Source organism: Homo sapiens, chromosome 11 (assembly GCF_000001405.40).
Source record: "Homo sapiens chromosome 11, GRCh38.p14 Primary Assembly".
Lineage (NCBI taxonomy): Eukaryota > Metazoa > Chordata > Mammalia > Primates > Hominidae > Homo > Homo sapiens.
In genome coordinates this window covers 70133960-70160926 of record NC_000011.10, presented here as the reverse complement: position 1 = coordinate 70160926, position 26967 = coordinate 70133960, and the positions used below count along the sequence as shown (strand labels likewise).

The window sequence follows — 26967 nt, the reverse complement described above, 5'->3', positions numbered from 1 at the left end:
CAGAGAGGTTACGTAGACAGGCCAGGTCACCCAGCTCAGGAGCTGGGATTTACCAGGCGGTCTGCCCAAGCCTGCAGTTCACAAGATCTTTGTGCTACCATCTTCCCGGAGCCCAGGCACCATCCCCAAGCACAGCCCAGGACACAGTATGGCCGCCATGCCAGTGGCTTGTCCCAGAGCAGACTGACTGCGGGATGGGGCTTCTCCCCCAACCCATGGTGAGCTCAGGGACATCCTCAGGTGGTGCAGGGCTGAGGTGTGCCTCTCTCACAGCCACCTCCCAGGGACTCCCCTGGTAAAGGAGGCAGGTGTGGCCTGGGATGGGGCAGGGCTTTGGGTCTGGCTGGAGATGCTTTGGGTCCCTTCTCCCAGCCAGCAGCACCCTTCTAGCTCTCCCACCAGAGTGAGCCCCTCCTCTTGCCAAACATACCGTGGGACCAGAACATTCCATAAAACTTGGGTTGGTGGTTGCCTGAGAAACCGTGGTGGGAGTTGGCTACAATGACAAGATTGTTCCACACACCTCTGTCTGTCTGTCTGTCTGGGCTCCCTCACCCTGCCCTGCCCCGCCCTGCCCAGGGGTGTGGATGCCCCATTCTGAGCCCTCATTGAGGATGGATGGACCGAGGGCTGGGCAGGAGAAGCACACAGCAAAGCCAGGCTCCTCACCCAGGCGTGAAACCACCCGCAGGACACAGGCTGTCTTGTCACCCTGTGTCCCCGTGTTCCAGGAAATCGCATATTTGCTCCCATGCAAGGGTGCAGAGGGCAGGTCCGGTCCCTGCTGGCACAGTCACAGGTGGCTCCCAGGACAGGCAGGCCCAGGAGGCCTGGGGCTGCCCTGTGTGTCTCCCAGTTGCAGCCTGGGATGGGTCTGTTTGCCCCAGAGGGTGTCTGCAGCTTTCAGAAACCTAGAAAAGCTCTTATTTCATGTTCTGGGCCGTTACCACCGGCTTCTGCAGGCATCTGCCAGTGACACATGGTGACTGCACCCTGCCCAGGAAAATGCCTGCAGCCCTCACCACACCCTGACTAAGGAGAAGCCCTGCTGCGAGGCGTGGGGACCACTCCCTGGCCAGCTCCGGGGAACAAGGGCTTTCCTTGGAAAACCCCTCGGTCCTGCCAAGAGGCCTCCAGGATGTCTGTCCCCGTGCCAGCATGCGGAGGTGCAGCTGGAGCGCCAGGCCTGTGGGTGACTCAGCGAGGGAGGCCCTCCACCCCAGCGGGCGCGTCCCCTGCCCTGCCATGGGGCAGTCGGGCCCACAACAGGCACGCCCTGCAGCAGGCTCCCTTCCAGTCTCCCTGGTCCATCTCCCCCGCATCCCCAGGACCAGGGGCGTGTGGGGCACATCCTAGGTGCTCAACCAACGTTTGTTCGCTGAATGAAACTCCCAAGTTGAAGACAAAGCTGTGTCCTCTTCAACCCTATGAAGCCCTTGTGACAGGGGTTTACCAGTACGTCAAGGCTGGGAAAAGAGCCGGCTACTTCCCTATCCAATATCCTCTGTCTTTCCTCTACCATCCCGCCTTGCTGAGATGGCAGTGTGTGCTCATTCCTGAGCCTCCCTGCAGAGGAGGTGGCCACGTGAAACAGTTCTGACCAATGAGATGCAAGCAGAGGTGTGGTGGGTCTTCTGCGAAAGCACCTTCAGACAGGGGCTGCCACCCCTGGCCCATCTCTTCCCCCACCCTTCCCCTTCTTCCAGCCTGGAGAGTGGAAGTGATGCTGGAGGTGCAGCAGCCATGTTGTGACCAAGAGGGGACCCACTCCTAGGACAGGCTAGCAGAAGGTCAGAGAAGCCAGTGACTCTGATGGCATCGTGGGGCCACCAGACCAGCCCTAGACGGCCACCTCCTTCCCGGCCCCGCACTGGCCCTTCTGCGACAATGCTGCTGCTTCTGCAGTGGGAGTGGCTGAACCTCAGGCTAGCCTCCCCTGGGTGAGGGATGGGGAGGCTCCGGTTATCTCCCAACCCCCTAGCCTGGCACCTGGCCAGAGGGGACACATCCCCTCAGCACGAGGCCGGGTGCCCTCCCACCAAGTCACCGAGAGCACAACAGCCCCCAGCCCCCAGCCCCCACCGAGGGGGTCCCCTTCTCCAGGTAAGGGGGATGAGCAGGCCCCACCACTGAGGCCACCCTCCTCTGGACTTCTTTATGTCGGCCAGCGTCCCTCTTACTGTACCTAAGAGCATGAGGGGACACTGGATCTTCCCACTTCTTCCATGACTTGGTCAGGGGGCCCTTGGCCCCTCACTCAACCCAGAAAACAAAGACAGCCCCCCGCCTCTGTCTCTCCAAGTTCCTACAGAATGGCATGGATCTTGGAGCAGACAGCCTGACTGGCACCAGCTTCTGCAGGCATATGCCAGTGACTACATGGTGACCACAGCCACCACCTCTGGCTGGCACTGGAGGAGAAGTGCAGCCTTCTGGCTTTAGTTTCTGTATCAGCAGGAGGGGGATGGTACCAGGACTGGCCAGTGATGAGACGCTCTGGTGAGGCCCTCAGTGCACAGCTGCCAACCTGGGCTCCAGTACCAGGACTCGGGGCTAGGTGGCCACAGGAGGCGCTGCCTTCAAGCTGTTGGGCTGGACGAGGGCAGGGTCATTTGTAACATGACCACGGCTGGCTCCGAGTACTTGGGGGGTGATGGAAACACAGCTAGCAGGCGGCCAAGGCCGAATCCATTGGGGGTTGAAGTCCCTGGGATTGAAATCCCCTAAAAGCCACAAGATGTTTGCCCACAAGCCACGTCACAGACTTGTGGTCCCTGAGTAGCACTATCGTGTCCTGTCTGCATGTTATTTATTTAATAGTTTTCTTTTTTAAAATTTTTAAAAATTTGTTTTTACTTAATTTAATGCTGATGCCTGTATCAGGGCTCAAGTCATGTTTTGGTCACAAAATAAACATAAACAGGTTTTTTTTTTTTTTTTTTTTTTTGAGACAGGGTCTCGCTCTGTCACCCATACTGGAGTGCAGTGGCGTGACCACAGCTCACTGCAGCCTCGACTTCTCAGTCTCCAGCAATTCTCCCACTACAGCCTCCCGAATAGCTGGGACCACAGGCGCGCACGACCACGCCAGCTAATTTTTGTATTTTTGGTTTTGCCATGTGGCCCAGGCTAGTCTCAAACTCTTAAGCTCAAGCAATCTTCCTGCCTCGGCCTCCCAAAGTGCTGGGAATACAGGTGTGAGCCACTGCACCCGGCCCATTTAATGGTTTTCTTAAAAAGTCTTCAGTTTCATCTTAAATGATATCTTTGAATCCCAGGCTTGAATTACTAGATACTCAAATAATTGTGTCTCTCAAAATGAAAGCTGTGTATCAGGGACCACAGAAATCATCTCATGTACTCCCTGGCGTGTGAAGCCCCCACTGGGGGTCACTTTGGAACCCTGGTCTCTTCCCATTTTAGGGGTAGTGGTGAGTCTTCCCCACCCACTGCCCTGAGGAGATGGGGCCGGCGCACCCTGGGACCAGTGGCACCACCGTGTGAAAGGCTGAATCAGGTCTTGGAGGACACCAATCGCATCCTTTTTTTTTTTTTTTTTTGAGACAGAGTCTTGCTCTGTCACCCAGGCTGGAGTGCAGTGGTGTGATCTTGGCTCCCCGCAACCTCTGCCTCCCGGGTTCAAGCAATTGTCCTGCCTCAGCCTCCTGAGTAGCTGGGACTACAGGCATGCACCACCACACCAGCTAATTTTTGCATTTTTAGTAAGAGACGGGGTTTCACCATATTGGCCAGGCTGGTCTCGAACTCCTGACCTCAAGTGATCTGCCCGCCTCGGCCTCCCAAAGTGCTGGGATTACAGTCGTGAACCACCACGCCCGGCTGAAGCCAATCACTTCCTTGCGGTTTCCCCTGACTTCGTCTGGCCTTAACCTTCTGGAACTTACCATGAAGATGATGGAGACCAAGTTAGTGAGGTAGGCTGGGAACCGATCTCTCCATGTCAGCTTCACTTTGTCAGTCTACAACACAAAACAATGCCGGTCACTGTCTGGAACCATCACGATGAGACATCTCTGTGTGTCAGCGTGGGTGCATGTGCGTGCGTGCATGGGCCCAGGGACAACTTGAACAACAGAAATACTCAGAAAAACCTCAAAAATGCCCACAGGTGATGAGCCAGTGCAAACGCATAGGGTTCCAAGAAGCATTTCGGGGTTTATCACCTATGTCACAGGATAACGGGAGCAAGAACCGTTTAACACTGTGATTCCTCTGTGTGTAGGACATTGTAATGCCAGCTGCCTTTCTAAAGACTGTTGGACCCACGTCTGGGAGAAACCTGGACTTGGAGTCCATTTCTTCAGCTAAAAGTCTCACTTCTAGGTCTAGAAGATGGAAGATGTTTTCCCAGTGCCACCCAGACCATAATAGTTATTTTTCCTTTGTGGAGCAAGTTGAAACAAGCAGCTAGCACTACAAGTTAAAACGTCGTCTGCGGTGACACATGTCCTGAAGGCTCTCAGAACCCAGGGTTGGCTTGGTCTGGAGAAACCCTAGGTAGAAGCTCATCACTAATCCGGGATGTTTCAAATGGGGGTGGATTTTTCCATGGGAAAATGCATGTATTAGGTCACAGAATGCAGACGGGCATGACACCGGAGGCCACTCGTTCTGGGGTGGGTGGCATGCATGTTAACGAGGAGACCAAGAAACACTTGCAGGCAGTTGTGACAAGCACGTTTCACGAGCTCCAAGTCAAGCCAGAGCCCCACCCCCGTCCCCGCCACCGCAGACCCACCATAGCCATGCAGTGCCATCGCAACATGCTGGGCTCACTGGGTGCCGAAGGAAGACAGAGAAACACGGATGTGAATGTTAAAAAAAAATATATACAACAGTTTGTTGAGGAAAAACACAATCGACTTTGATTGCCTGCAAACAGTCAAGACGCGCGCTGCCCGCAAAATAGAAAAGTACCAATTTCACCCCCGCCATGGCTGTCTTAACCCTCTGCTTCCATTTGTTTGTTGACTCCTCTGGAATATGCCGGCGCTTCTGAGGGGGGGTGGGGGAAAGAGAGCACCGTGCGGTGAAGTGGGAGGCGGCACCGCAGACCGCGGGGCCCAGGGAACCGTCCCCATCTTGGCAGCAGGCTGGCCCCTCCTGGTGCGGGCCGTAAGCTCACTGCCAAGGCTGACTCGGGTTCTGGGCGTTTTAAACAAGTAAGAGACGGCAGAGACCTACGTTCGGAAAGAACATCTGTAACAAAGGTGGTGGAGACGGGAGAGACTCCAGCACGCACCCTCCACTGGACCGCGTCATGCCCCATCTCACAGATGGTGGCTGGATTCCAGCGGGAGGTAGTGGCCAAATGTGCAGGTCACCACCAGCATCTTATGACAGCAAGAAGGAAGCCACACCCAGAAGCCCAAGCACATCCGCCAATTAGGTGGTGGGTCTCTTTCCATAAATGAATTCAGTGCCATAGCTGGAGGGAAATCAAAACCGCAGAGCAGCCACTGGGAGCCAAATGAAACAGAGGAGGAAATAAAGGGTACGGCCCGTCAGAAGCAGACAGGGCCTGGGGGTGCCTCTGAGCTCTGCAAAAGTAAACCCCCATGCCTCTGTTGCTTTCATGTGATCAGAGAGCCTGGGCTGAAACCAAGCCACGGGCCACAGAGGCGGAGGGACCCTGTATCCAAGAGGTGGCTTCCTTCCGGCACCTGTTGCCCAGATTCGCTGTTGTGGCTTGGTTAGGTCCCTTGCCTTAAATGGACATAGTGTGTGTCACAAAAGCCCTTTTCTGCCCCTTAGGAAGGAATTAAATACCCACCTATGCTCACTGCAAGAGGTGCGACCACACAACTACAGGGTGGGCTGTCTTGGAGGCCATACACTGACTCCTGAGACATCTTCACCCAGGCTTGGGGGCCGGGATGCCGCCCTGAAAACACGCCGGATGCTTGTAGGGCCTTAGAGATGATGGCATCCAGGCCTTTTGCTTTCCCAGGAGGGAATGAGGGGCGCAGAGGGCCTGAAGGGCCGGGGCAGAGGGCAGCTGGCACCCGGGCGTGCACATCCGATGTGTTAAGTCAGACAGACAGTCTCTTTATTTTAGGGCGATAACTCCTGCTTTTATAGTTGTATTCTGTTGAGTCCTGCTCAGACCCTCAGGGGTGTTTAAAAATACATACTTCTGGCTGGGCACAGTGGCTCGCACCTGTAATCCCAGCACTTTGGGAGACTGAGGCGGGTGGATCACCTGAGGTCAGGAGATTGAGACCATCCTGGCTAACACGGTGAAACCCCGTCTCTACTAAAAATACAAAAAATTAGCTGGGTGTGGTGGTGGGCACCTGTAGTCCCAGCTACTCGGAAGGCTGAGGCAGGAGAATGGCGTGAACCTGGGAGGCAGAGCTTGCAGTGAGCTGAGATCGCGCCACTGCACTCCAGCCTGGGCTACAAAGCGAGACTCCCTCTCAAAAAAAAAAAAAAAAAAAAAAAAGACATACTTCCTTCCTGGCTATAGGAGGACCGAGCTGTACCCCAGATTCTCATTGTATTTGAAGAGCTGGGCCTTGAGAGGAGGCTTTCTAGAGCACCCACTTTACCCTCCAGATGGGATTTTGGCAACTGTAACCCCCGGCCACTTTGGACCTGTGAGCACTGTCCCCTGACACATTGACAAGGAAAGACAAACCCAGGGGTTTGTCCTGATCAGTCCCCAAGGCTGAAAGTGCAGATATGACACAAGGTCAGGACCTGTGAGAGCTCCCTCGACTGCCCTCATCCCTCCAAGGGTCAGTGCGGGCATCTCCAGCCTCCTTTAGAGGCTGACAAGGCCAGGAGCTCCATGCCTGCTTGTCCCACATCATGTGAAAAACACCATTAAATAAACTTTGCTGGGCACGGTGGCTCACATCTGTAATCCCAGCACTTTGGGAGGCCAAGGCGGGTGGATTTCTTGGGGTCAGGAGTTCGAGACCAGCCTGGGCAACATAGTGAAACCCCGTCTCTACTAAAATACAAAAAATTAGCTGGACACGGTGGTACGCGCCTGTAGTCCCAGGTACCCGGGAGGCTGAGGCATGAGAATTGCTTGAACCCGGGAGGCGGGGGTTGCAGTGAGCCGAGATCATGCCATTGCAGTCCATCCTGAGCGACAGAGAGAGACTCTGTCTCAAAAAACAAACAAACAAACATACAAACAAACAAAGCCGGCAAGCACCTCTGGAGGTCTTCGAGAGTCCTGGCTGCACATATGACTTAATTTGAATGAGACATTTGGGGAAAAAGAAAAGCAATTATTATAAAAAGACGATGACCTCAAGAACATTGCAAAACATGTCTCACCCTCATTCTCACAGTCTGAGTGAAACAAGGAACTGGCCATTTGCTCAGGGGTGCTGGTTTGGCAAAGGCTTCTGTTTCATTGCTCGGCATAGAACAGGAGGGGTGTACTGTGAAAAAGCTTTGAAGCTTCAAAGCCACGTGGTTCCTGTGGTTGAAATGCTGGCTAAAACTTGAGATCACCCTCAGGATACATCATGACAAGAGATCTAGAGGAAGTTTGACAAACTATAGCCCTTTGGCCAAATCTGGCCCCCTGTCTGTTTTTGCAAATAAAGTTTTATTGGAACACAGTGTGTGGAACACAGGCCCATGTGTTTACCTACTGTCTATGGCTCCTTTTGCCGCTACCATGGCAGAGTTGAGCAGCCGCAACACGGGGTTACACAGCCTACAATATTTGTTCTCTGGGCTGATCCCAGGTCTACATGGTTGATGAACACAGTGTTTTATTGCTGGGAAAGTTAACCCACAGTGGCCACCATACCTCTTTGTTTCTGGACTCTTTCTTCAGAGACTTCTCCAAGACTCTGGCTTCGTATTCAGCTCTAGGATGATCCTGTGAATGAAACCAAGTCAAGACAGAGTCCTTGTTAATTTTGAGTCTGAGCTCCTCAGCGTGAGCATACTTGGCAAATCAGTCCATGTATTAGCCTCGGGCACCCTTTGGGTCCAGTTCATAGTTGGCTGCTGAATATTTCCAGTGTAATCACCCCATCTGTGGTCTGGATAGTGACCCAGGATCATCCCGCTTGTGGGGAACCCCAGCCCATTGGGAGGGCCACCGAATCTGGCCTCTGTGTCCTCCTGGAGGTGGAGAAGCCTGTACCAGGCTGCAGTGAACACCCAGCCATGAACTGGCCCTGAGAACATTCTACGGGGGAGCTGTGGGAGTCAGAAGAGACGCAGTAACTGTCGGCAAGCGCAGGAAGCCCAGAGGTGCCAGGCCTTGGGGAGCTCAGCGCAGGTCAGCGAAGGGTGCTGGAAGGAAAGAACAGGTTAGGAGAGACCGGAGGTGGGGAGAAAGCAGAGACCCCACCCGCGTGGAGGAACTGCGGGAACTGCGTGGTAGAAAGAGATTAGGTGCAAGAGAAGGTCCCTCTCCCAGGGAGATAGGCTGTGGGAAGATAGAGGAGCGACAAAAAGTTCCAAACCTTGACAGCCTCCTTCAGGGAACCAGAAAAGTAAAAACAAAAACACAAAGATGTCATTACTTAGGTTGTTATTTTAGAAATAGGACCTGTCCACTAAGGACAACTTTTTTTTTTTTTTTTTTTTTTTGAGATGGAGTCTTGCTCTATTGAGCAGGCTGGAGTGCAATGGCGCGGTCTCAGCTCACTGCAAGCTCTGCCTCCCGGGTTCAAGTGATTCTCCTGCCTCAGCCTCCTGAGTAGCTGGGATACAGGCGCCCGCCACCACGCCCGGCTAATTTTTTGTATTTTTAGTAGAGACAGGGTTTCACCCTGTTAGCCAGGATGGTCTTGATCTCCTGACCTCGTGATCCGCCCTCCTCGGCCTCCCAAAGTGCTGGGGTTACAGGCGTGAGCCACCGCGCCCGGTCCTAAAGACAACTTTCTTAAGAATTAGGATGAAGGTAAATGGATACAGGTGAGCCGGGATGGGTGGGTGACCCTGGGTTCCTTTAAGGTTTACTGCTGCTTGAGGGTGACTGTGGACTGTGGCCTTTGTAGCTGTGGCCTTTCCCATGGTTTTGGAAATTCCCCAAATTTCCAAATTTCAGTGCTGGACTGAAACATCTCAGATTCAGCTAAGGCACACATGGGTCACATGATAGGAGACAAGTGTCCTTCTGCTTCATTACCAAAGTCTGGGGTTCAGGCTATGTGGAGGGGCGGCCCCTGTCGCCTGAGGTTATTACTCCCAAAGGAGTCCCTGACCAGCCGCTGGGGGTGCGAGTGGCTCACTTTGGGAAATTCATTCGGGCTCCTTGGCACTGTGTGTGCCCAGTGACTTCGGTTATCACCCCCAAAATCAAGATCCCAAGCCATCAGGGTCAGGAGATCAGGGAATGGGATCCCAAGGGGTTGAACAAAGGGGACTGGGCCTCACCGCCAACTTTCCCCAGCCACAGGGACATCACAGAAGGGACATTTGAAATTGACTTCTGAACAAGATGGTGACTGCTTTTTTTTTTCTATTTGAATCTTTCTAATTGAAACGGCAAGGGAAGAGACCACCCAGAGAGCTCCCTCCATGGACAGGGCTCTGGGCTCTGCCCCCGCTCTGCCCTGCAGAGCTGTGTGCTGTGGACAGGTTGCATTGATCTCTGTCTGGTCATTTGTGGACAGGATAATGAGATCGGCTGAGGAAGAGGGTGGAGGCTGTTGTCTGGGCAGATAAAGGTGTCGCCCAGTGGCCACTAGCCGGGCAGCCGTTTATGGGGCACTGACTGTGTGCTAGGTCAGGTTCTAAGTGCTTTATATCTATTGATCCATTGAGACCCTACAAATGCCATCAAGTGAGGACACTGAGGTACAGGGATGTTAAGCAATTTGCCTGGGGTCACACAGCAAGGCTGGTGCCGAATCTGGATGGAACTCTGGCAGCCTGGCCCCAGAGGCCCGTCTTATACCCTGTGAGCTGCTGTGCCTCTCCCAGAAAACTCTAATCCCCTTGTCTGTTGACAATATTGTCAACCCAAAGCTGGCACATTTGGCTGAAGAGTGACCCTTGGGTTCAGTCTGAGAGGGAGCAGATTGTGTGAGAAAAGACAATAGAAAAGTTAAAAAAAATTTTTTTTAAAGAAAAAAGGCCTTTAAAAGAAAAATATCTTTAGAAAGAAATGTCTACATTACAATAAAAATGCATGAAAAAGTTCTTTTTTTTTTAAAAGGGAGCATGTGTAGCCTGGGCAACATAACAAGAACCTGACTCTTACAAAAAAATTAAACAATTCGCCAGGCATGGTTGTGTGTGTCTGTAGCCCCAGCTACTTGGGAGGCTGAAATGGGAGGAGGGCTTGAGCCCGGGAGGTCAAGGCTGCAGTGAGCTATGATCATGCCATTGCACCGCAGCTTAGGTGACAGAGGGAGACCCTGTCTCCCAAAAAGTGGGGAGCATGTTTTATAAAATTAAATAGTGGTCAGTGTGGTTGCACCTTACAGCGCGTGCATGAGGTCGCCTCTGTTGTGCACCAAGGCTAATTGTGGGGACTGTTACTCCTTTTCATTCCCACCTACCCTGAAGGGAATTCCTGCTGGACTTGGGATCCCTGGGAGTATGGTTCACCTGGCATCCCAGGGGCTACGTAATATTGAATGTCCCTCTCTCTGGAGTATGAAGATGCCCAACACTGGCTTTCCCTCTATGTTAGTAAAGGATCCGTTCCCTCTTGTCAGCCACGCCCAGCTGCAGGCACAGAGCTGGCTCCAGGGAACGTGGGTTTGGCACCCGGGGAGGCAGATGCTCACGGCCACTTTTGGAGACCCATGGGCAGTGTCCATTTCCTCTCCACCCCCACGGGTGGTGCCGACAGCCCAGGCAGCCCCCAGACGCGATGAGGTCAGTGTGGTGAGCCCTGGCATGTGCCTGAGACCACGCTGGTGGCTGGGTGTCCATGTGAGCATGGGGATGAAAACACTTCAGCAGACAGGGAGTGGTCACTTTGGCCATGGAGGGTGTTCGGAACGCCAGGGTGTTGAGTGGCGAGGCAGGCAGGGGGTGGGGGATGGGGGGCGGCCTTGCCTCAGCTTGGACCAGAAGTGCTTTCTGACCTCGGGCCTCCGTGTAAGTCCCAAGGAGGTCCTGGGGTAGGGGGAACGTGGGGGAAGGGCGTGATATGCACGGCGGCAAACCCACTGACCTCTTCCTCTTCAAAGCCCGTGAGGTCCCAGCGGTAGTTGAGTCGCATCTGTTTCCGCTTCCAGTGCTCCATGAAGGTGGCAGCTGCGGGCAGGGGCAAAACCAGAGTCTCTGATGACATAAAGGCATTTTTTTTTTTTTTTTAGACAGAGTTTTGCTCTTGTTGCCCAGGCTGTAGTGCAATGGCGCAATCTCCACCCACTGCAATCTCGCCTCCTGGGTTCAAGCGATTCTCCTTCCTCAGCCTCCCGAGTAGCTGGGATTACAGGCATGCGCCACCACACCCAGCTAATCTTTGTATTTTTAGTAGAGACAGGGTTTCACCATGTTGGCCAGGCTGGTCTCGAACTCCTGACCTCAGGTGATCCACCTGCCTTGGCCTCCCAAAGTGTGGGGACTACAGGCGTGAGCCACCACGCCCAGCCAAGGCATTCTTTTCTTTATCAGTGTTTGGTGAGAGAGGGTGACATCCTGGGCTGAGAACTTCATGTGAATTCACGTGTTCAGCCCTCCCGCCAATCCTGTGAGGCAAGAGCCGTCATTCTCCCATTTTACAGATGAGGAAACTGAGGCATAGGACACTCAAGTCCCGACCGAGGTTACCCAGCTAGTCAGTGAGGGATGGGCAGCATGGTCTGAGAGCCCGTGCCTCAACCATCCTCCCCCATTGCTCTCGGGGGCCCCGGTTCGGAGGTCAGGAGGAACGAGGGTTGAGCCCAGGCCACTCACTCACTCGGGCTTCAAACCACCCCAGGGGTCTGCCTGCTGAATCGCACTGGCAGCTGCTGCATTCAGCTTCATATTCCCAACAGACAGAGCATGGTTCAAATGCCGCCTCCTTCAGGAAGCCACAGATCATCCCCCTCAATGTGAGAAAAACCCAGCTCCTCTCGGGACCTTCTTCAGCCTGCATCTGTCTTGCCCACGGTGTCAGTGCTGCCTTCCATCAGGATCCCCGTCCCGTGACTTGTATGTGAGGCAGGGATGGGGCCTCGTTCCCCTGGGCCCCCAGTTCCCAGAGGTGCCTGGGACAGACAGGTGCTCGAGTGGGCACCGAATGAGCAACTTTTGTGAGCACACAGCTTGCAAAAGGAGATGCCCTTGGCTGAACTGTTTATCCTGAACGCTTCTCCCTGCAGAAGAAAATCAGCAGAGGCTGAGGGGCAGAGGAATAGGAAGGCCACAGAGTTTCTCAGAGCTCACGATTCTCGAGCTGTTCCTTGCCAGGCACTGTTGGGAGCTGGTCAATCTACAGACCCCTCCAGGACAGGGCCGTTGCCTCTGTCTGAAGATGCTTAGTACAAATTTTAGGGCAATAATACCAGAGTTCAATACCAGCCACTGAGCTCTGTGACCTTGGGCAAGTTATTTAGCCTCTCTGTGCCTCTGTTTCCTCATCCATAAAATGGTGCCCTCTAATAATCAGACTGGGAGTATCAGTGAGGAAGTATCAGTGTGATTTAAGCCTCACGGTGATCATAGGAGGTAGGCGCTATTCCCATCCCCTCCATTTTACAGAGGGGGAAACTGAGGCTCAGAGGGATCAAATGGCTTCTCCGAGAAGCAGCAGCACTGACGTGCAAATAAAATGGGCTGTGCGACGGTGACCGTGCAGAGTGAATTCACAAATGTGGCCCTTAACTGAAGGCAGCGTGTGGCAGGAAAGAACGAAAGTCATGGGTGTGAACCTGGTTCAGAGGTCGTGAGTCTATGCATAACACATCCCATTCCCTTTAAGGCGAGGTGCGAATAGGGCTTCCAAGGATGCACGGGTTTGTCTAGGATGGCTACTGTATCGGCCGGCCCAGCCTGGAAATAGGAACCCCCCGCCGACCCCAGGTCTTTTCATAGCGGAGTAACTTAATCCTGAGACTTGCTCGCACAGGCAATGGAAAAGCTGAGAAGCCACACGGGGGATGGTGGGACCACCCAGAGATGACCCACAGCAGGAGCTGGCATCCGTTTCAGGATGGCAGGACAGTAGGAGGTGCTCAGCGCCAATGCTGGAGCCAGAAATTGGAGCTGCCCAGAAGAAGCTGGGATCACGGAGGAAGGGCTTCCCAGGGGAAGTCAGAGTCTGGAGAAGACACAGTCATTGCTGGGGATGTCCCAGGAAGTGGAGGGAGATGGGGAGCAATATCTCTGCTGCTCCCTTCCTCCCACCTTCTGATTTCCCAAAAGGGCTTCCCACTGGCTGAACCTACTGGGAAGAGGGAGAGCCAGGAGCCTGGGGAACGCGCCTCCCCATGATGCAGAGCTGAGCAGGTGAGGGAATGGCTATCGCTGAAACACCTGCTGGAAACCCAGCCACTCAGCAGACACGCACTGAGCACCATGGCTGGTGAGGAGGGCCACAGGGGGCCCAGCAGGAGGCCCCCAACCCCCAGGGCCCCTGACCCTCAGGAGGCAGACGGTGGGAGCAGCCTGTCTGCGGTGGGCACCCTCCCCAGGAGGCAATGCGGGGAGGTCTCTGCCTCCTTGAAGATGTCCTTTGGCCCCTGTAGCTGCTCTGGAGCAGTGGAGGAGGCCATCCATTCCCTGGTCTCTGCCTGGTCTGCAAGGCCCCCGATGTCTCCTCCACTGTGCTGTGAGAGCTGCCTCTTTCTGTCCTCCTCTGCCCGCCCAGGCCAACAACGCCCTTTTACGACGCTTTCTGGGGCCGAGCACTGCCCGGGAGGGCTGCTCCACGCACACCTGCAGAGTTGGCCTGTTTACCCGCTGTGATGGTTTGTATTGAGTGTCAACTTGATTGGATTGAAGGATGCAAAGTGTTGTTTCTGGGTGTGTCTGTGAAGGTGTTGCTACAGGAGATTAACATTTGAGTCAGTGGAGGGGGAGAGGCAGACCCACCCTTCATCTGGGTGGGCACCATCCCCTCTGCTGCCAGTGTGGCTAGAAAAAGCAGGCAGGGGAAGGTGGAAGAGCACACTTGCTGAGTCTTCCGGCCTTCATCTTTCTCCCATGTTGGATGCTTCCTGCCCTTGAACATCAGACTCTGAGTTCCTCGGCTTTTGGACTCTTGGACTTACACTGGTGGTTTGTTGGGGGCTCTCACGCCTTCAACCATAGACTGAAGGCTGCACTGTCGGCTTTCCTACTTTTGGGGTTTTGGGACTCAGACTGATCCACTACTGATTTCCCTTCTCCTCCACTTGCAGACAGCCTATTGTGGGGCTTGACCTTGTGATCATGTGAGTAGTCGATTCTCCTGAATAAACTCCCTTTCATATGTACAATATCCTATTAGTTCTGTCTTTCCAGAGAACCCTGACTCACGCACCTTCCCTGTCCCGGCCTCCCCAGCTCCTCCTCTTTCCCAGACTTGGCCTCCATTATGACACTCACCCCACTACCGCTCCGGCTCGCCCTCTCTGCACTGGCCAGCTTGCAGCATAACAACAGTCACCAGTTCACGAGGAGGTATCCGTGCACTAGCATTTTACACATATCAGTCAATCTCATCCTCACAACGACCGCAGGCAGGAAGGAGGATTCCCGTTCATAGATTTACAAACTGGAGACCATTTACAAAACTGAGATTCAGAGGCCTGAGTGCTGTGCCCAAGGTCAGCTGCAGGGGAGCAGCAGCCATTGGATTTGAACCTCATTCTCTTTGACTCCAGAGTCTTCACAGAACCACGATACTGGACCAACTCTCTGTGCAGATATTTAACTTTCCTTAAGAAAATAATAGCTGTAGCGTCACAAATCTGATTATTAAAGCATACCATCTTATGGATGAGGAAATGGGGGCACAGAGAGGTTAAGTAACTTGCCTAAGGTCACAGAGCTTGGTGGCTGGTATTGAACCTTGGTATTCTTTCTTTCTTTTTTTTTTTTTTTTTTTTTTGTTTTTTGAGAAGGAGTCTCTCTCCGTCACCCAGGCTGGAGTGCAGTGGTGTGATCTCAGCTCACTGCAACGTCTGCCTCCTGAGTTCAAGTAATTCTCTGGCCTCAGTCCCCCAAGTAGCTGGGACTACAGGTGCATGCCACCACGCCCGGCTAATTTTTGTAGTTTTAGTAGAGACAGGGTTTCATCGTATTGGCCAGGCTGGTCTTGAACTCCTGGCCTCACGTGATCTGCCTGCCTCAGCCTCCCAAAGTGCTGGGATTACAGTTATGAGCCACTGCACCTGGCATTGAACCGTGGTATTCTTGCTCTAAAATTTGTACTGTGTCTTCAGGTAGAAGCAAAGGCCCTGTCCTGGAGGTGTCTGTAGATTGGCCAGGACCCAGACTGGAGCCTAGAATGTAACCTGGCGGCTGGGGGTGGGGTGGAGGGTGAAGATGTTACAAAGATGTGGCTTGTTTGGCTCAGACACGTTTAAAAAATAAAGACATTTGACATAAAAATTATGCATTTCCTGCTTCTCCTTTAAAAGCCAGAAGCATTGGCAGCGGAAGGCTGGAGCTAAGCAATGATCATCCCTTTGTCAAAACTTGGGCATACCTTTCCACTTGGCCACAGACCCCACCATGCCCTATTGTCTGGCTTTTGTGGGCAGTGAGCGTGGGGGTGGAGCTGTGGAGTCCAGGCTTCACCAGCAGGAAAGGAATGTGAAGGCTCGTGCTGCGCCTGGTGGCCAGTCCTCAAAGCTGGCATTGTGAGCAGTGTGAAGAACCACCTTCTAGTGGAGTGAGCGAAGGCAGGAAGAACCCTGAGCTCCATCCTCCTCAAGTAATTCTCCTGCTCCTGAGCCCTCCCTCCTCACCCACACGAGTTCCGATTCCTGCCCTCCGAGGGTCCCAATCCTGGTCCTCCTTGCCAATGTGCCAACCACCTCATACAAATGTTGTATAATACCCAGCTGCTGCCAGGCGCTGGACACGGTGCTTTCCCACGCCTGATCCCCTCGGATCCTGCCCCGGCCCCCTCCACGCAGGGACGACGCACTCCATTTTATAGACACATAGCTGAGGTTCTGAGACGTCAGGGGACTCATCAAGTAAGGGCAGAAACCTGGACCCAGGCCTTCTGATGCCCAGATAGGCTGGCATTAGGGACGGGGCTTCCCACCCACATGAGTGTACAATGAAGAAACAGCCTTGAGTGCAGCAGCCTTACGAGGTGGCCAAAGGGACAAGCCCATCCCCCTGAAATCTGGAGTCCAGGAGTCACCACAGCACACAGCACAGAGGGTGGCAGCGAGCGAGAAGCCAGGCCTGGCGGGAGCGGATAGTTGGGCTATGGTCCCTTCCCACATTGATTTTCACAGCACAGAGTCACACAAACTCCTCATAGAGGCGTCCAGAGGCAGCAGTTGAGCGAAAGACTCTAGGTCTACATGGGATCTCATCAGGGTGAGCATGGGCAGCTGACCACACTGCTGCCAACCTCAGTCTCCACATCTGAGAAATGGGCTTGTTACCAGTGCCTGCCTGAGAGGGTCTATCACAGGGTGTCCCTGACTTCATCCACAAGCGGTGCTCAGGGCAGGGCCCGCATATCACAGGGTGTCCCTGACTTCATCCACAAGCGGTGCTCAGGGCAGGGCCCGCATCTCTAAGGGCTTGACAGAGGACTGCTCTTACGGCCCAGCTCGGTCGCAGGGATCTCCACGTGTCCCCTTGAGAGGCTCAGCACAGGACAGAGGCTACATTTTGTACCACCCCGTTTGTATAAAATACCCAGAATATTTATGGTAAATATATATAAATAAATATAAATATTTATGGTAAATTTTTATGTAGCTGCTCTGGAGCAGTGGAGGAGCCCAGCCCCCCTGAAATCTGAATCCATTGATTCAGGTAAATCCAGAGAGACAGAAAGCAGATTGGTAGTTGCCAGGGGCTGGGGTTGGGGGAAAGGGGGACCGACTGCTTCATGGGGATAGGGTTTCCCTTTGAGGTCATGAAAATGTTCTGGAATTAGACAGAGGCGTGGATGCATAACATGTGCTAAATGCCACTGAATTGTGCACCTAAAATGGTTAATTTTATGTTGTGTGAATTTCACTGCAATTTACAAAAAGCTAGTGATAGAATGATGAGCGTAGATTCCCCTTATGTGTTAATGTGCACCTGCCACATCTTGGAGGAATCACAGGAGAATGGGCCGGAGGGACACACACATGTGTGGTTACCTGTGGCGGGGGGCAATCTGTCCATTTCATCCGGGATTTCTCAGTGTGGGTCTGGGAATCTGGGGTGTTTCTGAATCTCCCCAGGGAGCTTGTTAAAATGCAGATCTCTGACCTACAGAGTCACCCAGGGTCCCCGGAATCTGCATTCTGAACAAGCTCCGTAGGCTGCCAGCAGGCATCTGGAAGTACCGACCCCTCCGTCTTTCTGCCGTCCTTCTCCAACCATCCCTCCATCCATCAGGTTAGCTGCCTCTCCTCCCAGGCTGCATCCCACCCCGCCTCAACTTATGCCAATGTCTCTACTACTCAGGCTTCACTCCAATTTCCCTAATTTCGCGGCACCTCCTTAGCTGGCTGGCGGACTCCCTTTCTGAGCTCTCTCTCCCCTGAGATGCTGTTGCCCAAACCAGGGCACAATCTCAGGTGCTTCATCTGACACTCTCTTGGTTCCCCTGAGCGAGCTGCAACCCGCTCTGTAGCTGCCCAGTGGACAGCCCCATCTCCCCAGTGAGATCCATGCTCCTCACGGGCAGGGGTCGCGTCTTCCAAGCCTCTGCCCTCCACCCCTGAGCCCACCAGCTCTGGGAAGCAGGCAGGGCACAGTCACACATGACCACAGAGCAGGGGTGCATCCTGCTTGGACTGTGCATGTGGGGTCCCTATCCATTTCCCTTCTTGAAATGTGACCCCCTGCTCTGGCCTGACTTGCATCCTCTCAAATTCACATGGAAGCCCTGACCCCCCAGGTGATGGTATTTGAAGATGGGGCCTTTGGGGGTTGATCGGGTTTAGCTGAGGTCATGAGGGTGGGGTCCTCGTGATGGGATTCGTACCCTTGGAAGAGGAGACAACAGAGAACGGGCTTCCTGTCTCTCCCTTTGCCACCTGAGGACACAGGGAGAAGGTGGCTGTCTGAAAGCCAAGGCGTGGGCCAAATCAGCTGGCACCTTGATCTTGGACTTCTCCATACTCAGAACTGTGGGAAATGCATGCCTGTTGTTGCAGGCACCTGTCCGTGGTATTTGGTTATGGCAGCTGGAGCAGACTAAGACACCCACCCCCTGGGAATAGAAACCACCCTTTGCTAACCTCCAGTTCCCGAGAAGTGCAATGTTTGCTTAGTGCAGACTCCATTTCCATGAACTAGAGGTTAGAGAGGGGTCTCCTGGGGAGTGGCGGGGCGGGGGCAGGGCTCTGGTCCTGCACGAGAGTGCTCGGCAGAGATGGGTGGGACACAAAGGCCTCCAGCCTTCTCTTTCGCTCTGAGTCACCGGGCACCCTACCTATTTATCCCTGGAACAAGTTTAGTTCCCGCAGACGATCACAGTGCATCCCCTTCGTCCCCACCTAGCTGGGAGTGACTCAGCTGGGTGACTTGTCAACTCCATGTAAAATCTCAGGCCCAGCCCCTGGGAGGGGTTCCAGTTCCATCTCTGGCATTTCATTAAAGTTGGGACCATCTTTCTCCGGCTTTTTGCAGCCAGGCTCAAATCAGATAAACTCCTTTGTTCTTCGTGGAACTGACAAGCAGTTAAAACCCCATTATTATGCTATAATTTCAGAAAATGGATCCAAGTGAATAGCTAAATAGGGCTCAAGGCTGCTTAATGAGACATCTTATTTGAGGCTTTCAAATGTCAGAAATTCCAGACAGCAGCAAGCTGAAGTCTCTGGGACCAACGTGTCAGCTCCAGGAAAGCTGGACCCCACGGTGCAGTGGAAGCAAAGATTAAAACAGCAGGCTGGAGGTGATTCATCCACCGTGAATACGGACCCCCACACCCCGGCGGGCGGGTGGCCACGACCAGGCTCCCGGCTGCCAGGCAGTAACAGGTTTCTGTCTCTTTGCCATTGTAGGAGCAGAAATGTGAACAGCTGGAGGCCGGAAAAGAAAGGACACAAGCGGAGAAGAAACACCAGAGGAAAAATAATCCCTTAGAGGGTAAAGAACAAATAATTGAATAAGGGATTAAAAAACACACAAGGAGAGATCCCTGGTAATTACCCTTGACAGCCAGTGTGAAAAGGGCCCGGGATGGGGGCTTTGTCCCTCCCCTCTCCGCTCACACCTCTCAGCCGCAGTAGGTTCTTTCCTGTTGCTCCTGTCTTGATTTAGAATAAGCTCCTTTTCTCTAAAGCAAATGCTTCGTGGGAGTGGCCTGGCTTTTTTGTGAATTCCCCCCGCCCCCGCTCAAAATGGGAGCGTGCAGACGGAACTTGTACTTGACTGTATTTGACAGTCGGGGCACATTTGTTGTCTCCCAGGGCTGAAGTGGAGCTAGGGAGGGGTGAGACAAGCAGCAAAGCCTCCCGCGGGGTCAGCAGGCACAGAGTCCCCCACTCCCAGAGTCGGGGGAATGTAGCCATCTGCTACGAAGGGGCTGGCCCGCAGCTCTTGGGGCGCAAGGCACTAGGTGTGCAGTGAAGAACTGCAAAACAGGCAAGCTGGCTTCTCGAAACAGGGCCACCAAATGAACGGCCACAGCCCATGGGGGACGGCGCGCTCAGTAGCACTACGCCTACATGTCCCCTGCTACTGGCTTACGGTACATTCCTGCTACCCCAAGAGGGCCCTGCATGAGGGAACGTTTGGACAGAGAGGTGGGACCAGGGCACGTGCTGAAACCTTGGAGGCAGATGGGCCGGGGTGCGCATCTGAGACGTCTGTTAGGGACCTGTTAGCTGTGTGATTTTGGGCAAGTCGCTTACCCTCTCTGTGCTTCTATCAGAGGCATTCCAACCAGAGAGACTCCATCTTGAGTGAGGACTAGGAAAAATGAGGCCGGGGCTTGCCGGGCTGTATTCCCAGAAAGTGAGGCATTCCCAGCCTCTAGATGTTTACATTAAGGGACAGATTGATAATGTTTACTAAGCAGACCCAGACTCAGGAATGTCCTGATATCCCGAGATGTTGAGAACAAAAGCATTCCTAATTTCGCTTTAGAGATAATAATATTGATTCTCACAAAATATAGTAATTAAGACAATTAATCCTTTATCACAAACCCTTGTAGCAGAGTATATCTCCCCATGATTTTCTTTGTTATCCTCTACATAAACAAGCACTGTACCTAGGGTAGGCACGGTCCTCCTCTTACTTTGGGAATGCCCTATTCTGTAGCCATTCTTTCACTCCTTTACTTTCTTTCTTTCTTCTTCTTCTTCTTTTTTTTTTCCTTGAGACAGAGTCTTGCTCTTGTCACCCAGGCTGGAGTGCAATGGTATGATCTCGGCTCACTGCAACCTCCGCCTCCTGGGTTCAAACGATTATCCTGCCTCAGCCTCCTGAGTAGCTGGGATTACAGGTACCTGCCACCACGCTCGGCTAATTTTTTGTATTTTTAGTAGAGAGGGGGTTTCACCATGTTGGCCAGGCTGGTCTTGTACTCGTGACCTCAGGTGATCCACACACCTTGGCCTCCCAAAGTGCTGAGATTACAGATGTGAGTCACTGAGCCCGGCCACTCCTTTACTTTCTTAATAAACTTGCTTTCACTTTAGACTGTGGACTCACCCTGAATTCTTTCTTGTGTGAGATCCAAAAACCCTCTCCTGGGGTGTGGCTCAAGACCCCTTTCTGGGAACACTTTAGCGTCTTCAACAGAGAAAAGAACAGAGCCTTGGTCTGCTGTGGGGTTACAGAGAGAGCCGGTGTAGAGCCCTTAGCCCGGGGCCTGGCACGGAGGCAGTCCTCAGCGCAGCTCCCAAAGGGAAGGAGGTGTATTTTTGTGGAGTCAGACGGGGAAACTACTCTAGGTGAGAGAAAAACTTGGAGGTAATCCAGTCAGGAACAAGCAAGGCACGTGTTCAGCACACACGCCAGCCGGAGCCAGTTAGTAATGCCCGCGGAGTAGGGCCTAGAGTCAGGTATTTGGGGCTCAAGATGGAGACTTCTTAAATAACTTGAAACAGAAGTACCATTTAACTCAGCAATGCCATTACTGGGTATATGCCCAAAGGAATATCAATTGTTCTACCATAGACACATGTATGCATATGTTTACTGCAGCATTACTTATGAGAGCAAAGACATGGAATCAACAAAGATGCCCATCAATGGTTAACTGGGTAAAGAATATTTGGTGCAGGCCGGGCGTGGTGGCTTACACCTGTAATCCCAGCACTTTGGGAGGCTGAGGTAGGCAGATCACCTGAGGTCAGGAGTTCAAGACCAGCCTGGCCAACATGGTGAAACTCCGTCTCTCCTGAAAATACAAAAATTAGCTGGGCGTGGTGGCGGGCGGCTATAATCCCAGCTACTCGGGAGGCTGAGGCAGGAGAATCGCTTGAACATGGGAGGCAGAGGATGTAGTGAGCTGAGATCGCGCCACTGCACTCCAGCCTGGACAACAAGAGTGAGACACCGTCTCTACTAAAAATAGAAAAATTAGCCGGGCATGGTGGCAGGTGCCTGTAATGCCAGCTACTCGGGAGGCTGAGGCAGGAGAATCACTTGAACATGGGAGGCGGAGTTTGCAGTGAGCCGAGATTGTGCCACTGCACTCCAGCCTGGGCGACAGACACTCTGTCTCAAGATAAAAAATAAAAAAGAATATGTGGTCCGTATACACCAGGGAACACTACGCAGTCATAAAAAGAAGGCCTTTGCAGCAACATGGATGGAGCTAGAGACCATTATCCTAAGCGGACTAAACGAATGCAGGAACAGAAAACCAAATGCCACATGTTCTCACCTTTAAGTGGGAGCTAAACATTGAGTACACAGGGACACAAAGCAGGGGACAGGAGACACCGAGGCCTACTCGAGGGTGGAGGGTGGGAGGAGGGTGAGGATGGAAAAACTATCTGTCGGGTACTGTGCTGGTTATCTGGGTGACAAAATAACCTGTACACCAAACCAACGGCACGCAGTTTACCCATGTAACAGATCAGCACATGTCACCTCTGAGCCTAAAATAAAAGTTGGAAAGAAAAAAAAACTGCAACTAAAAAAAAAAGTTATGAAAAAGTATTTGGGGCTCAGAAACCAGAATTCTGGGGTTCAAGCCCTGCTTACGAGCGGGTGTAAGTTTGGGAAGGTTGCCCTAGTTTGTTCATCTGCCAGATGGGGTCATAGAGCTATTTACCTCCTTCGGGGGGAGTTAGTGAGTCAGCACGCGGGAGATGCTCATGACAGTGCCTGGCACAAAATAAGGCTCACCTACCTTCAGCTGTGATTCTTTTCTTTTCTTTTTTTTTTTTTTGAGACGGACTTTCACTCTTTTTGCCCAGGCTGGAGTGCAATGGCGTGATCTTGGCTCACTGCGACCTCTGCCTCCTGGGTTCAAGCGATTCTCCTGCCTTAGTCTCCTGAGATTACAGGCGTGAGCCACTGCGCCCAGCCTTTTTTTTTTTTTTTTTTTCTGAGATGGAATTTCACTCTTTTTGCCCAGGCTGGAGTGCAGTGGCGTGATCTTGGCTCACTGCAACCTCTGCCTCCCGGGTTCAAGTGATTCTCCTGCCTCAGACTCCCAAGTAGCTGGGACTACAGGCGCGTGCCACTACGGCCAGCTAATCTTTGTATTTTTAGTAGAGACGGGGTTTCACCATGTTGGCCTGACTGGTCTTGAGCTTCTGACCTCAGGTGATCTGCCCGCCTTGGCCTCCCAAAGTGCTGGGATTACAGGCGTGAACCACCGCGCCCAGCCAGCTGTTATTCTTTTCTGAAGGAGAAGAAGTCACTGAATGGACAGAGGCCACCAAGCACAAGGTGAGAGGTTAGGTTTAAGCTCAATCTCCTAGGACCCAAGGCTACGTTTTCAAAATTTCAAAAAGCAACAGCTCACTTTTAACAGCCAGTGCAACGTAGCAACTGGCACCAGGCACAAGCCAGGCATGGCCCTAAGAACTTTGCATGCAGTGACTCCTTCCATGTTCCCAGCAACCCTGTGGGGTGGGACTGTGTCTCCGTTCTACAGATGCGAACCTGGGACCCAGAGAGTAGAAGCAAGTTCTCAGGTCACAGGGCTGGCAGGTGACAGAGCTGGGATTTGAACCTGAGCCGGGCCCCGGAGCTGGCACTGTGAACCCCTTGACTGTATCTAACCGTCCTACTACGCAGCCAAGTCAGCCTGAGTAATCCAGTGACCGTCAAGTGGGCTGCCAGGGCAGGCCGGGCCCCGCTGGGTGGATCTTCCCAGCCTGGAGCTGGGGCACCAGGAGGCTGGGGAGTCACAGCCTCCTGGGTCATGATCAGAGAGAGGGAGACAGGGAGGGATCTGACCGGTGCTGAGGTCTCTAGGAAGGCGAGGGAGGGAAGGAGCAGCAGACAGCGGTGATGGCGGGTGGGGGGGTGGGGGGTTTGTGGAGATAGTTCCAGATGGACGCAGCGTCCAGGGAGGCAGGCAGGGGCAGGCAGGGGCAGGCAGGGGCAGGCAGGGGAGAGAGGACAGGCTCAGAGAGATGTGGCTTCAGTTCCCGGCTGTGCCAATGGAGCCTCACTTTCCTCCTCTGTGAAATGGGGACAGGTTCTCCGCTGTTCGGATACAGTGTGATAAACAACGGGAGCTCTGGCACGTGTGCTTCAGCGGTGACAGACTGCTGCTGACCCTACATTTATAATTCTAAATTTACGATACATTTTGATCCCCAAATTAAAAACCAGAGCTGGGTTGTAGGCCTGGGAATCTTCCCAATAAGCCACGTGGCCTTGGATCACACATAGACATCACCTCCCAATGCTCTGCAGTTGCCCCAGCAAGAAGTCCTCCAACCTCAGCTTGAATGCTTCCCAGCACGGGGCGCTCACCCCCTCCCTGGCCAGCCCAGCTCAGCGTGTCTCACTGCTCACCACTGGAACTCACGCCCTACACCAAGCTACGGACCCACGGCTCCCATTCTTGGCCTCCTCTGGAAAATCGAACGCCTTTGTCCACGAAGAGAAACAACTGCATTTATCTCGAGGCTATGCTGATTTCTGTGCGTGTCTGTCCCCACCTGTGACTGGAATCCCGGGAAAGCAAGACCTGTCCCTCACACTGCTCTGCCCACACCCTCGTGTGGTGGAGCTGAGCGTGTCTGAGGGCGGCTTCCAGGCAAGTGCAGACGCCGACGACAGGCACCTGACCTCACCAGGAAAGGCCTCTCCTGACTCTCCCTGGGCCCTCACTTGCTCACAGAGGCTTGCAGGCCCTGGCTGAGCCTTCGAACCTCAGCAGAGGAACTCCCATCTTCCCCTAACAAACTCCAGGCAGAAGCCCCAAACATGAAATCGGCCAAAGGACGATGTTCATTTAAATCAGGACTGAGGCCAGGGTGAGGCGAGGGAGGTGCTGGTGCTGCAGGTCCCACGACACTCACTCTCAGGGTCATGGGCACCTAAGACGAGATGCCAACATCCATGCTGTACCCAGGCATCCCTCCCTTGCACTTAAACCTCTTGACTGGTGCGGGTTCCTGCAGAGGCCTGTGGGACCGAGTTTGAGAACCACAGGGGACCGACAAGCCCAGAGCTGCTGCCCCCTGGGAATCAGGCCCAGGTCTAGAGCCTCCAGCAGGGTCAGCCAGCCCTGGACGCTCTAGTCTTGGAGGGTCCACAGGCCTGGGGGCCACAGGGCTGCTAGCCAGCCCAACGCATGAGGGACCAGACCCTTGAGGGTTTCTCCCCAAACAACCAGGGTGTTGACCAATCTGCGCTGCCTGCATCCTCTCAAAGGACGACCTTGCAGCAGGAACTCCCAGAAGGAGGGAGGTCTGGGGGGAGGGGCTCGTTCTGTGGCTGCGGCACCCATGCCTGCCCAGTAGGCACTCCCACAGGTGACCTGGAAGGCGTGACTGGGTGATGCTCTGGCACTCAGAAGAAGGAATTTGCAGTGACCAGAATGCCACGTAGCGCTTTGGGCTCCCAAAACAAGAGCCGCAACAGGCGCTTATCACAGAGACCTCTTATCGCCCGGCGTGTTAAGCTCGAAATGGGATCATTACAGCCCAAGACGGCTTCTTTCTTCATCCGGGCTCCTTCAGCCTCTCTCCTCCCTTCCCCTGGGAATGTGCTCTTACTGGGCATGCCTGTAATTGGAGAAGGAGAAAATGAAACACCACGTCCTTCTTTCTCTGCAGAGGAGGGAGGCCCAGTTCTGTGGACCCAGGAATTACTGGACGTTTGGAGAGTCCCACAAAAGTGGGTGCCTTTGGAGTCCGCTGTAGAGAAGAACACCAGCCAGGGGTTCTCAGACGGCTGTGCCCTCCCAGATCCTAAGGTGATGCCAGGGATGGGCAGAGCGTGGGGTGGAAGGACGTGGTGGCTGCTTTCTCCAGGGCCCTTAAAAGCCTTTTATTCATGGTTAAATGTGGGAGCTGTAATTCATAACCCTGTGTGTCAGATGAGACCAGCTCGGCCAAGCCCGCCAGCGTCTCCTTAACTCATGGGAATAGCATGAGAGCTAAAACAAAGTGTGGAGTCCTTTGGAATAATCTAAAGTCTCTCTTTTCCATCGGAGGCCTTTTCTTTGGAGAAGTGGCTACAGGGAGTCTAAGGGCTGAATTCCTCCCAGGGATTTCAGCAGGGAAAGAGGAAACAGACGGATGAAATCAGGGTCCCCAGGGCCAGGGAGGGAGGGTGCCATGAGGCTCCCAATCGCTTCTCTCACACCTTCCCATAGGTGCCCTTCCTGGAGCTGGGCCCCCACTGTGTCACCCCTCTCTTAATCACTGCACAAGCTCCCTCTTAGACTTGCGGTCTCCGACTCGAGCATAAGACAGGAAAGCATCTTTGACACAGCAGCTGATGGCACTGGGTTCTGATTCCTCTGAGCCAGCACACTAAGTTCTTCTCAGCGTGTCCTTGCTGACCTCTCCGGATGCTCTGACACCCCTCTCACCTGGTCCCTGCACCTGGAGCTCCTGCCACAGCCCCGCACCCTTCCCATGGGGCCTTCTCTTGAAACCTACGCTGCAGCTTTTAGAGCAGCGGATACATCAGGTTTGCTTCCCTTGGTTCCCCTGGGGCCCGGCACAGTGTGGGATACACATTGTGCTCAGTACACATGGGCCGATGAGTAGCTCCCACACACCAGGCACGTGCACATCCTCATGCAGGTGGGACACATGTGCTCAGTACACGTGGCTGATGAGTACCTCCCACACACCAGGCGCACGCACACTCTCGTATAGGTTTTCTTTGGTTCTCACATGCTCCAATGTGGTAAGACGGCAGTGACCACCTATTTAGAGTAAGCTATGTGCTAAGCCTCGGCTGAGAGTTCATGTCCGTCGCCTCTGATCCTCATGCAGCCTCATTCTGCAGATGAGGAAGCTGAGGTTTAGAGCAGTGAGGTGGGAACTGGCAGAGCGGGAGTCTGAGCCCCGGGGGCGCTATAGAAATGTACACGGGGCAGCAGGGCTGACCACAGCAGGCGGCACTGAACAATCTTCTAGTGGCTCAGGGGGCTCAGTGCTACAGGGGTCACACTTACTTGTGGGTCATGCTATGGACCACCTGAAATACTGTCTCAGTGGCTGCACAGGCCCAGGGGTCCCAAATGAGGAAACAGAGCTGCTGGCGACCATGTGGAGGAAGCGCTCATGAGAGCCAGGCCCTTCCAGCTGCGCACACAGCGGGTGGGGCTGCAGCGAGGTGCCTCGGGGCTGAGGCCTCTGTGGAGGGAACTCTGCTAAGGACACGGAGCTGCCCAATAAGATTCCAGGGTGAGGAGGGTCTTGAGGGAGGTGGCCGTCCACAAAGCATCTAAATGGAGAAGCTCCAACTCTCACCATTGCCGGCACCCATGCTCAGAGCTGGCGGCCTCTGTCC

General features: G+C 53.7%; 1 protein-coding gene across 21 annotated transcripts in view, besides 5 other annotated features; it reads right to left on the bottom strand.

Annotated features, from left to right (window-relative positions):
- ANO1 (anoctamin 1) overlaps positions 1 to 26967 on the bottom strand; it is a 223534-nt gene that overhangs the window by 28604 nt on the left and 167963 nt on the right. For 8 of the 21 annotated variants that reach the window (NM_001378092.1, XM_047427183.1, XM_047427182.1 and 5 more), the window contains 5 exons: positions 11135 to 11217; positions 8466 to 8477; positions 7799 to 7870; positions 4939 to 5016; positions 3906 to 3980 (listed from right to left, as the gene is read on the bottom strand). In NM_001378092.1, the coding sequence (NP_001365021.1) occupies positions 3906 to 3980; positions 4939 to 5016; positions 7799 to 7870; positions 8466 to 8477; positions 11135 to 11217 (320 nt within the window). The remainder of the gene's footprint in view (positions 1 to 3905; positions 3981 to 4938; positions 5017 to 7798; positions 7871 to 8465; positions 8478 to 11134; positions 11218 to 26967) is intronic. The other 13 variants (NR_030691.2, XM_047427185.1, XM_047427181.1 and 10 more) reach the window with 4 other exon arrangements.
- Positions 4582 to 5082: an enhancer, noted in NCBI's record as "H3K4me1 hESC enhancer chr11:70001951-70002451 (GRCh37/hg19 assembly coordinates)". NCBI's record gives its function as "activates a minimal SCP1, AML or CMV promoter by ChIP-STARR-seq in primed H9 embryonic stem cells {active_cell/tissue: H9 hESC(primed)}" and the evidence as "EXISTENCE:reporter gene assay evidence [ECO:0000049][PMID:30033119]".
- Positions 5083 to 5583: an enhancer, noted in NCBI's record as "H3K4me1 hESC enhancer chr11:70001450-70001950 (GRCh37/hg19 assembly coordinates)". NCBI's record gives its function as "activates a minimal SCP1, AML or CMV promoter by ChIP-STARR-seq in primed H9 embryonic stem cells {active_cell/tissue: H9 hESC(primed)}" and the evidence as "EXISTENCE:reporter gene assay evidence [ECO:0000049][PMID:30033119]".
- Positions 18523 to 19334: an enhancer, noted in NCBI's record as "NANOG-H3K4me1 hESC enhancer chr11:69987699-69988510 (GRCh37/hg19 assembly coordinates)". NCBI's record gives its function as "activates a minimal SCP1, AML or CMV promoter by ChIP-STARR-seq in primed H9 embryonic stem cells {active_cell/tissue: H9 hESC(primed)}" and the evidence as "EXISTENCE:reporter gene assay evidence [ECO:0000049][PMID:30033119]".
- Positions 19335 to 20148: an enhancer, noted in NCBI's record as "NANOG-H3K4me1 hESC enhancer chr11:69986885-69987698 (GRCh37/hg19 assembly coordinates)". NCBI's record gives its function as "activates a minimal SCP1, AML or CMV promoter by ChIP-STARR-seq in naive H9 embryonic stem cells {active_cell/tissue: H9 hESC(naive)}" and the evidence as "EXISTENCE:reporter gene assay evidence [ECO:0000049][PMID:30033119]".
- Positions 25389 to 26588: an enhancer, noted in NCBI's record as "BRD4-independent group 4 enhancer chr11:69980445-69981644 (GRCh37/hg19 assembly coordinates)". NCBI's record gives its function as "activates an origin of replication core promoter dependent on BRD2, P300/CBP, MED14 and CDK7 cofactors, and independent of BRD4, by STARR-seq in HCT116 cells {active_cell/tissue: HCT116}" and the evidence as "EXISTENCE:reporter gene assay evidence [ECO:0000049][PMID:35650434]".